General features: G+C 38.8%; 1 pseudogene; it reads right to left on the bottom strand.

Moving 5' to 3' along the window:
* On the bottom strand, window positions 4,862–5,995 carry GAPDHP41 (glyceraldehyde 3 phosphate dehydrogenase pseudogene 41; annotated as a pseudogene).

Here is a 12,309-nt window from a genome sequence, read left to right on the forward strand (position 1 = left end):
AAATTTCTGAAGAGAGGAAGGAATTTTCTATTGTGTTGGTCATTTTGAGTCACATTGGTTTCAAAAAAAAAAAGAGAAATAGGAAGCCAACATGCTGGGTATATACCCAAAAGAATAGAAATCATTCTACTATATATAAAAACACATGCTGATAGATAAAGTGAGGAGACCACATAGATGGACAGAATGAGAGCAAGAGTGAGAAAGGGAGACCAGAAGAGCCGTTGTCTTGGTTTTGGATGGGTTTCCTCTGATGTTCCTAGACTTTGCTAATGCCATTGATAGGCCTTTGATTCCATGGCATACCTCAAGGTCATCATAACATTTTGTCCCTTTTACTTGTCCTTTGTCCTTTTTGAATTAAGTGGGTTTTATTATTTGCAACCAAAAAACAAAAGTTAGTGGAATATTCACCCAATTGCAAAAGTAAATTTCGACAGCTCAACACACTCTTCGACTTCCACTGCTAGTGACTGATCACTTAGAAGGGTACTTGTAATGCCAACTCAGTAATCTCAAAGAACATACTGTTTATATCCCCACATTTCCATGGTTGTTTGTACCTTTGTCTTGAAGTAGAGCACACTCACTTATTATGTATCATTGCAGGAAAACAGACTTTAAGAATACATCATCAGCCAATATTTATGTCCATCACTGGAGCTAGGGGTCCTCTATACTATGTCTTCTCCTGTTATCACCACAGGAGTCATAAAGACCAAGATTCAAATCCTCCAGGCTTTCTTCAAATCCTCCAGGTTTTCCTCAAATGATGAAGTTCTGCTGATGTTAAAAATTAATGTAGACACCACACCTTCCTCTCTAGACTTCTTAGTTGCTTCTGTTGCAATTTATAATGTGGCTTTTTAATTTAATTTAATTTTAATTTTAATTTTTTGAAATATAATTTAATTGTAAATTCCAGGATACATGTGCAGGATATGGAGGATTGTTACATAGGTAAACATGTACCATGGTGGTTTGCAATTATTAAAAAGTCAAAAAAACAACAGATGCTGGCAAAGCTGTGGAGCAAGGGAATGCTTATACATTATTGGTGGGATGCAAATTAGTTCAATGACTGTGGAAAGTACTTTGGAGATTTCTCAAATAACTTAAAACAGAGTTACCAATCAACCCAGTAATCCCATTACTGGGTATATATCTAAAGAAAAATAAATTGTTCTACCAAATGTCACATGCACTTGTATGTTAATCACAGCACTATTCATGGTAGCAAAGACATGCAAACAACCTAAGTGCCCATAAACAGACTGGATAAAGAAAACAGGGTACATATATACCATGGAATACTATACAGCTATAAAAAAGAATGAAATCATGCCCTTTGCTGCAACATGGATGAAGCTGGAGGCCATTATCCTAAGTGAATTGATACAGGAAGGGAAAACCAAACACCACATGTTCTCACTTATAAGTGGAAGCTAAACACTCATGGACATAAAGACAGCAACAATATACACTGGGACTACTAGAAGGAGGAGGGAGGAAGGGATATACGTGTTGAAAAACTAACTATTGGGTACTATGCTCAGTACCTGGGTGATGGTATCAGTTGTATCCCAAACCTCAGCATCATGCAAAATACCCAGGTAATAAACCTGCACATGTACCCCATGCATGTAAAATAAGTTGAAGTTATTAAATAAATAAATACATGTATTTTTTAAAAAATTTAGTGTTTGTCTCTGAAAGCAATCTTATTAATCATATTGAGATTTTGCACTTATTTATCACCTACTGGTTTCCTCCAAGATTGGGAGCTGTGTTTAAATTCATCCTATATAATTAAGAAATTTTTTCCTTCTTCCGTTTTTTCCTTGAATTTCTATCAGCTTTCCTTCATTCGACCAATTATTATTGATCGCTCATCATGTTTTAGGCCATGTACTAGACCCTGGCTATATGGTGGTGAACAATAACAATGAAAAAGACTTGGTTTTCCTTTTATTGGGGGAAATAGATATTAAGTATATAAATGAGCATAATAATTAGCATTGGTGATAAAAGCTCTGAAAGAAACAAAGTGAAAATATGGAAGGCTACAGAGGAAACACAATTGCTAGAGGAGGCAGGGAACCCTTCTCAGCAGAGGTGACATTTTGTCCATGATGGGACAGCTGAGGTAAAAAGCCAAAGAAGTCAGCCTACAGACAGGGAAGTGAGGGTTTTGAGATCTTTAGGATTTGAAGTAAGGGTGGAGGGCAGTGAACTTTACCTATATGGAAACCCTGGGCTGGGAAAAAGTTTGGCATTTTGGAATATTTTAAGGGAAGCCAATGTGAAATCCATTTATAACAAATATTTTACAGTACCCCTTTTACTATCCTGAAATGAAATTCACATGTACTTACATACTTCATTTCAAAAAAAAATCAATAAAATGCCTTAACTGGGATACAATAAAGAAACAAAAGTCAATAAATATATTGCAAGTTAATAAGAATTTTAGGTGTGAATTGTTGACCACAGATATTCTAGAAGGTATAATGAAGTTGTCAGATGTTTGTAATCCAAACATCAAATCACTATGAATGAAACACAGCATAGTTATGTTGGTTGGTAACTCACATTTCATGAGTTAGGTTGCTATTGATGACTTGATATTCCTACATGAGGAACAATATTTGGTAAATTTCTGAATAAAATGAAATACCACTTCCCTTGATTAACACAGAAGTCATTTATATTAAAACCTCGCAAAAGTTATTTGTTAAATATAAAAAAAAAATCAGGTTTGGGTAATAAGTTTCAAAGAAATGTTTTAACTTACATGAATATTTAGTGGGATATTCTAAAGTTGTGTGGAATGAAGGAAGTTTCTTCACCATGCTAGCTCAACCCATTAAATGTTAATAGGGACCTCCAGTCACTCTGATAAGTAAAAATGTACTTCCCAGGGAATGTGCTACATCCTTAAGAGTCATTGGAGTTAATTAAGCCTTATGACTAATTGGAAGAGATACTCAAGGCAAGGCTGGAGAATGGGCAGGGCTGGGTCATCCAGAAAGTCTACAACCCAGCAGGCTGGTCAAAGAGTTGCAGGCCCCTCCTTCAAGGTCTCATGGGTCTTTGCCATAAACTTTTAACTTTTTAGTCTTTTGGCTTTGTTTGTTTTATGACTATTTCTTATAAACAACATATTTTTTTCTGAGTTGTTTTTAGACTCACTTTAAGAGACATTATCAACCCTTTGGGTCTCTAGGTTGCAAATCACTGCTGTATATACACAAACTGGAGCAGTGCCGATAAACAGAGGCTGCTCAAAACGTATTTGATAAACAAACACAAATCAACTACTTCCTTTAATTTTCTTAAATCTTTTAGAAGTTATACATCCTGATTTTATTTTATATGTGTTATTTGTAAACTTTCCTAAACCATTCATTAATATTTTCTGTAATTACCAAAATTAAGAGTGAACTAGTTTATTTTGAAACCTCTTTATTCAAGAGTGCTTCTATTCTTCCCTTATTACTTGTCTTTGGTTAATCAAATCTTGGGATTTAGATCTATTTTATAACTAAGACTTTGTTTCATTAAGAAACCTTTCTTTTTGACATTTACCTCTAGTTTTATAACTAGATTTGCAATTATTTGGATATCTGATTTTAATTGATCTCCATGTTCACTGCCTATTCTTTTATGCTGACTTTTCTGTTCCTGAGTTGTTAATTATATCTCTTCTTCTTTTTGTCTTCAAATTTTTTTTCAAGAGGGTTACAAAGGTGGCATCTTTCTAGAGACCTCATATTTGATCACCTTCAGTAAGAGGCCACTTGGATAAGTATTGAATTCTTGGGTTACAACCCTTGAATAATTAGCTCCTGAATAACTGAGAGTTGATTTGAATAACGTAGCATTTTAAAGAACACCATTTCCGAGAACACCGTTATTTACACTGTTTTGAAATGTAAATTTTTCAGAATCAATTTTTGTTTCAGCTTCTGTATGTGGAGCAACTTCTTTATTGCTAGATATGAGATGCCCTATCCCATCTCTTCCCTTAGAAGATCAGATACGACAGAGACAGCAGAGGATTTGGCAGTCATTTATTCTTTCATTTGTTCAACCAAGAATACAAAGGTGTATGATTCACCTAACATTTATTGAGCAGTTACATTTTTGCTCATAAACACCATTCAAAAGAAGAGAAGGTTATGATCCCTGACATTTGAGGAATTTACTATCTGTTTGGAGATAAGAAATCCATAAAAATAACTGGAGAGCCAATTTTAAGGCAGTGTACAAATAAAGCATGTCTGTAAAGCAATGAGATAGATGTTTCATGCTAGAAGTAAAAAACTAATGTCTCTACACACTTAATATACATAAAAGTCATAAAACTACTTATTTATTTAATTTTGCATTTGGTGTTTGCCCATCTCTGTTTAGCATATTGAATACCTATCTAAAAGTGATTAAAATTGAGTGAGGAACTCAAAGAGTTTATAGAACAGTGAGAAAGAGAATCCAGTCATAAGAAAATGCATCTGGAGTAAAACTGGATGTACAGACTTCCTGGAATGGGCATATATTTATGCTACCTCAGTGTGTTATTTGAGTAGATATGTAGTTAAACAGAAAGGATGTAAAACATCAGGCTGAAGGTAAAATGCCATTATGTTTATGTTTTTTTTCTTTTGTTGAGTGCAGGGGACTTTATTGATGGTACATGACAAGGTGGGGCTCCCTAGGCTTCTCCCATTTTTCAGGGGGTCTGGTGTGGAAACTGTGTTGAAGGGAGAGTCTCAGCATGTCAGGGACAGAATGTGGCAGCGACTTGCTAGCCCCTGAGGACCTCTTTTCCTATTGTTTTCTCACTGGGGCTGATAGTCTAGGACAGTGTGGCAGGGACTTGCTGCAGCTGAGGGCCTCTGTTTTCTTGTTGTGTTCTCACTGGGGCTGATGGTCTAGGGGGCTCTTACTCCTTGGAGGCCATGTGTACCATAAAGTCTACCACCCTGTTGCTGTAGCCAAATTCATTGTCATATCAGAATATGAGCTTGACAGAGTTATCGCTGAGGACAATGCCAGCCCCAACGTCGAAAGTGGAAGGTCGATGTCACTGTTATAGTTGGAGGAGACAACTTGGTGCTCAGTGTAGCACCACGATGCTCTTGAGGGGCCCTTCCGTGCCTCCTTCATTACCTTCTTGGTGTTACCATATTTGGCAGGTTTCTTTAGATGGCAGGTCAGGTCCACAACCAACATGTTGGCAGTGGGGACACAGAAGGCCATGCCAGTGAGGTTCTCATTCAGTGTGGGGATGACTTTGCCTTGGCAACACTAGTTAATTGCAGGGGTGATGTCTGTGGAGCTCCATAGCTGTCATCCCAGTTTCCGAGAGGGGTTGTCTTCGTCTTCTGGGTGGCAGTGATGGCATGGACTGTGGTCATGAATCCCTCCATGATGCCAAAGTTGTCATGGATGACCTTGGCTGGGGGTGCTAAGCAGTTGGTGGAACAGAAAGCATTGTTGATGATTGTGAAGTTGTTTTTGTTTTTCTCATGATTCACACCCATCACAAACATGGGGGCATCAGCAGAAGGGGGAGAAATCATGTCCCCTTTAAGTGAGCCCTAGTCTTTTCCAAGGTAGTGATGATGCTGGTGGATTCCACAAGATAATCAGCACTGGCATCCCCTTGTTTGATTTGGATGGGATCTTGCTCCTGGAAGATGGTAATGGGATTGCCATTGATGACAAGCTTCCCATTCTCAGCCTTGATGGTGCGTGGAACTTGCCATGGGTGGAATCATACTGGAACATGTGGACCATGTAATTGAGGTCAATGAAGAGGTCACTGATGGTGACAATAACCACTTTGCTACAGTTAAAACTGTCCTAGTGATCAGGCACCCAGTAAGGCCAAATCCGTTTACTCTGGCCTTCACTTCAACCTTCGTGTCTCAGGGACATGGCTGGCACTGCACAAGATGTGACTGTCTATGGAATGGGAGGAGCAGAAAGCCTATATTTATGATTTTTATATAATCACATCAGCACGGAAGAACTGTTGGTGCCTAGTATGCATCTTGCATATTTGGCATCCAAAACTATTGCTTGATTTGATTTCGTTTCAATCTAAAACTTTTTTTTTTTGTAATATTAACATTTGGGGGAATTTATGCTCAGCTGCTCTTCAGAGAATAGAACACAGAGATGGTAGAATTGGTAAACTGTAAACTAGTGTGGATGAATCTTTTGTAATGGTTGATTTTGTGTCACAGGGTGCCCAGATATTTGGTTAAACATTTTTTCTGTGTGTGTTTGTGAGAGTATTTCTGGATAAGATTAACATTTGAATTAGTAAACTGAGTATAGCCGATTGGCCTGCACAATGTCCCCAGGCCTCATCCGATCAGTTGAAGATTGAATAAAAACAGAAGGCTGAGTAAGGAAGAATTCACTCTCTCTGCTTGACTCCCTTTGAGCTGGGACATCAGTCTCCTCCTGCCTTTGGACTTGGACTGAGACTGAAACTTACACCATCAGCTCTCTTGCTTCTTGGGCCTTCAGACTTGGACTGGAGCTATACCATCAGCTCTCAGCTCTCTTTGAGCCTGCTGACTTTCCTAGCTTGCAGATCTTAGGACTTGTCAGCCCTCATATTGCATGAGCCAATTCTTTATAATAAATCTCTCTCTCTCCTCACACACATGCGTGTGCATACACACACACACACACACACAAACACACACACACACACACACACACACACACACACTAGTGGTTCCGTTCTCTGGAGAACCCTAATACACATTTTGGTATGGAGTCTAGAGGAACAGAATCTTAAGAATGAGCTTTCTGAATTGGTTCTGGGGTTTTGGAATTGGCTCTGTAATGTAATTGGATTTAGAGATTCTCATAACTCTATTTCCAGTAGTAAAGAGAGCATTGATAGTACATGTTGTGCTCTGGTGATAGCGATATACAAAATAGCACCATTTGATACTCTGAACCACTTGTAGGAAGTAAAGATCTGAATGACTGTTTATGTGAGACTTTCTAACATTTTTGGCAAACTAATGAGTATAATGAGATTGACTGGTTGCTCCTATTGTCACTAGACAAAGTGGGAAAAATAAAGGATGAGCTCAGGGATTTGAATATGATAAAGATCAGTGTCCCAGAGGCTGATGGGTGGATCATAGGAATCCCTTAGCCTATTTACCTGAAAGGGTGCTTGTACCAGGTGTTAACAGACTGGGTGAGTAATTTGAGGGACTTGCTCCAATACTGGGAAAAATGAAAACATGAGGCCATCTTGGAAAGTTTTTAAGAGCAGAGATAAGCTTTGCTCATCTTTGAAAAAATTGCACATCCATGGGCTTGGTACCTTTTTACTGTTGTGTGTTTAATAAAGGCTGGTTAAACTGGGCCACATTCTTGATGATGGAGCATTTCCCTTCCTGTTGAGGCTTTTCAATGGCAATAGAATTGCCTAGTAGCTGAAGAATGAGTGCTGAGGTGCAATGTTCTGGCAAACTAATAAGGAAAGTTTATTGATATAAGTTTGCCTTACTCCAGAATAAGTATTTTTTGGCTGGCAGTGTTTTTTTATTTTATAGCTGTCTTGACTACTAGCAAGAAACTCAGGGTATATAAATTCTAACTTGGTTTTAACAGTAGGAGAGCACATGGCATCTCTTGGCCTCAGATCCCTCTCCTTCAATTTAAGTAGGATAATCATATTAACCAAATCATCAGGCTGTTATAAAATATATTTTAATAAAAATATCCCCATACCAAAGAATCCCTTTGGTGATTAAGAAAAAGTTGGTATAATGAGGTTGTAATCTCCAGCTCAGTAGGAGGGAGAGAACTACAATGGGAAGTATTGAGATTCTTCAACCCCATCAGGGAACAATTACAATAATAACCATAATAACAATAATAATAGCAAAAAACCCAATAGTACTTGCCATTTATATTACGTTAGAGCCAGAAATTCTATACAGAAGGAGGGTGGCACCCTAGTTGGAAGGACGGAGCGAGGCTAGGAGACACCTTGTGGTTGAATTGGTATAGCACTTTACCTTCGATTGAGAAGATGACAACTGTTAGGATCAAAGAATGGGGATGGGCTGGGTGCAGTGGCTCACACCTGTAATCCCAGCACTTTGGGAGACCAAGATGGCGGATCACCTGAGGTCAGGAGTTTGAGACCAGCCTGGCCAACATGGTGAAACCCCGTCTCTACTAAACATATAAAGTTAGCTGGGCATGTTTGCGGGCACCTGTACAGCTACTTGGGAGGCTGAGGCAAGAGAATCACTTGAACCCGAGAGACGGAGGGTGCAGTGAGCCAAGACCATGCCATTGCACTTCAGCCTGGGCAGCAAGAGTGAAACTCCATCTCAAAAAAAAAAAAAAAAGAAAGAAAAGAAAAGAATGGGGATGGGGCAGATGAGTGGAGGTGAGGAATAGGGATGGGGGTGGCACATATCCGGCTACCTCAATCTTGTGAGCTGAACTTTTCTAAGCCAAGCAGGCACCTCACTACCAAATGAAAGACCCAGTGATGATTTAAAATGCATATAATCCAAGCCTGTGCCTTTGACAGTCAGTTTTCTCTAAGAACTTATCCCTAATGTTGACAGGATACCCAACTAATTATCTTTGGTCACTTAATTAATTAATTCCTACAAGAAATTTAACACCTGAACCCTCTTCTCACTCCCCAGAAACTACTTCTTTATGGCTGATGCATGGTGCTTTGCCATTTCAGAACTTGAAATAGTTTATTCACATCAATATACCTACTGCAGATATAATTCCTGTATAGTCTTTGTTCAAAGAAAGTATTATTTGTTCTTTAATTTTTGTTATGTCATTCTCTCACAGGATGGTGCTAGCATATATAAGACTGAAACACCAAAGGCCTCCGTGGAAGTTAATGAACTTCTGTGAGTGCACTTTATATTATATAGGAAGTTGTTTGGTAGCAAGTAGCACATATTTGGGTGATAAGGGATTAATATGCTTCCATCTACATAAAAGTTCAAAGTTTGATTATTATGCATTGCATATCAGGGTGGATGACTAGTTTTGATTTTGTCAGGATAAATGTGTTCTCCCTGCTCCAACCATTATGCCAAGGATGGCCTTATTCTAGAACCTCCTAATTCTGTTTTGAACATTCCTAGTCATCATTCCTAAAAATGAAATATTATATACTAGTACATGAGCTCATGAGAGCTTTCATAGCTGTAATTAAAGATGCATAAAAGGCACGTAACACTTTCAACTCAAGTCACATGCTGGTCTGTTTTATCAACTATTCGCAAAGGTTCTCCTGATTGGTGATTAAAAGTGGATTAACAATTCGACTTTTTTCTTCAGGGTTATGAGTTGGATTCTTCAGCGGAGTATTTGAGCCATGCCTTGAGGCACATACTTCAAGTTGCTGCATCCAGTTTTAAACTCCAGATTGAGCTTTACATATTAAACGTGCACATTTGTTTTCACATTTTTGAGCTTTGCCAGTGGCACCCTCTCTAATTAATCATCCCGCAGGCTTAGAAAACTTCTGCCCAATCCTTTCTGATTTGTTAAAAGAAAGAGAGAAGGTTTTAGTCTGAAAAAGGCCTTATCTGATAGACATCACATTATACGGATTTTTACATTTAAGTACATTTTCTTTTTAAATCCGGTGGCTTTCCCAAACTAGAAAGATGGAGTGTTTGCATACATCCACCAACCACCAACATCAGCAGAAAGAAAGCTTGATACAGTAAAGGAAAGAAATGGCAATTTAACAGTTCTTTTATTTTCCATTCAGATCACGTACACGTTAACCAAATGAGGCCTCACAGCATGGAATCTGATATCATAGCAATGTTTTCAGGAAGCAATAATTTAATACTCCTCATTAAAAAGGGTCATAAAAGAATCCTATTAAAACCAATATGAATAATAAACCTTGAAAATGCTGCTTTAAATTCCAAGAGGATGGCGAAGATCTGCGTCAGTAACAGTCTTCCTGTTCATAGAGTGATTTTGAAAATCTCCTGGGCTGAATTTTTCCAAGCCAAGCAGGCATCTCACTATCCAGTGAAAGACCCAGGGACTATTTTGAATGCATTCAATCCAAGCCTGTGCCTTCCACAATCAGTTTTCTCCAAGAATTTATCCCTAATCCTGACAGGATACCCAACCGAAAGGCTAATTATTTTTAATCACTTAATTAATAGATAATTCTTACAAAGAGCCCAACACCTGAACCCACCAAGTCCTCTTTGCATGGGCAAATCCAGCTGGTTTGATGCACTAATTTCACTAAATGAAAATTTGGACAAATTGTATGTTACTGCCAATAATGGTAAATGTATCCAATTCAAAAATAGTAATAAAAAAGTTATTTTTTTGTTCCCTTTTTAATCACAGAGGCAGCTGTGGTAGGCCCCAAATGCACAGGGCATATGGCTCACCTCACCACCCCAGATGGTGCTACTGGCCCAGCCTTCCCAGCGTCCACCCTGGCAGTCTTTCCTCATTCCCTTGGCCCTCACCCTGTCTCCTCAGCCTTCCAGCTGCACTGCTATTGTAGGCTGCTCTTTCTCCACAATCTCCTCTTATTTTCTGTGATGTCTCAGGATGTTTCTTCTTCTCAGGGGTTTTTCAAGCTTCTTCCACACTCAGGTGCTCAGACCTTTTTATGGTCTGGCTTCTGAAGGAGATCAAAATTCATATGGACAAGCATTTGTGTATTAGCCAAGAGTTGCTAATGCATTTCTTGATTATAAGTCTCAGAGAAATGGGATGAAAGATCTTAGATTTTTATACACTCTGGTTCAATGGTTTCTCAGCTTTTCTGATCTGAAAAGAATAAAGGACACCTTTTAGCTAAGCACTTTCTGTTTTATTTCTTATAATGCCATGTAGTGGCTGTTATTGGCAACACAGCAGTCATTTAATAAACCCTGAATGTCTGTAGCATTTCTTCTCATTCATTTCAGTGAGTGCTGTTCTTTTCTGTGTTTATTTTTTATTTTTTTTCCATGCAGCATTTCTTGCACCCTCTTATTACTCCTCAGCCTTTGGATTCTAGATCAGTGGTTCTCAAACTGCCTGCATCAGAACACCTGAAGGGCTTGTACAACACAGATTGCTGGATCTCATTCCCAGAGTTTATTAATTGTTAGGTCCAGGTGGGCCAGGGAATTTGCATTTCTAACATATTCTCAGGTGATTCTGCTGCTGCTGGTCCAGGCACAGCACTTTGGGAAATGCTGCTCTAGAGAGAAGAGAAACTAGAGGTTAAGTGTTTTAGCTTGAGGGTCAGTTGTAATCCCTGCTTCACTACCTTTCTAGCTGGGTAGTCTCTCAGCTGATAAAGGTCCCCCAAGTTCAGTTTCTTCACTCTTAAAATGAGTTTATTAAAACATCCCTAGCAGGGTTGTTTAAAGGAAGAAATTATGTAATGTTTATTAAGCCTTTGAAAGAAAAGCGATCATGGTGGGTGTTTTGCTGTTATTACTTTTTATTTCTTCCTGAGGACTCAGTTTTCAGAACTTCTAATTGAATCATAAAGGATCCTTCAAGCATCCAATTTGGTTAAGGAAATTGTGTGTCTGTTTAGAAAATAAGAAAATGAAATCCTTTTGAGAGGATCTTGACCAGATAGATTCTAAAATCTATCTGGACCTGCTAAACAATAGTCAAGAGAATTTTGAAAGGAGACACCTCTTTTGATGTGAGTCTTACCACAATCAAAACAGTCACAAGAAATCAAAATATGTTATAAAGTCACAAAAATCACAACAGCATGGTATTGGCTTAGGAAAATGTAAATCAATTAAATGACCAGAGTAAAAAATTCTATATCACATTGAGAGACAGAACTAGCTGGATTTCCTAGGCTGACTAAGAATTCTTAAGCCTAGCTGGGGAAGGTGACCGCACCACACCTACCTTTAAACACAGGGCTTGTAACTCAGCTCGCACTCCACCAATCAGGTAGGAAAGAGGGCTCACTAAAATACTAATTAGGCTAAAAGCAGGAGGTAAAGAAATAGTCAAATCATATATCGCCTGAGAGCACAGGGGGAGGGGCAATGATTAGGATATAAACCCAGGCATTCTAGCAGGGAGGGGCAACCCCCATTGTATGGGAGTTCTGTTTTCACTCTATTAAATCTTGCAACTGCAGACTCTTCTGGTCTGTGTTTGTTATGGCTCGAGCTGAGCTTTTGCTCACTGTCCACCACTGCTGTTTGCCGCTGTCGCACACCCGCCGGTGACTTCCTCCCATCCGGATCCAGCAGGATGTCCGCTGAGCTC

The sequence above is a fragment of the Homo sapiens genome, chromosome 6 (genome assembly GCF_000001405.40).
Source record: "Homo sapiens chromosome 6, GRCh38.p14 Primary Assembly".
In the NCBI taxonomy this organism is placed as follows: Eukaryota; Metazoa; Chordata; class Mammalia; order Primates; family Hominidae; genus Homo; species Homo sapiens.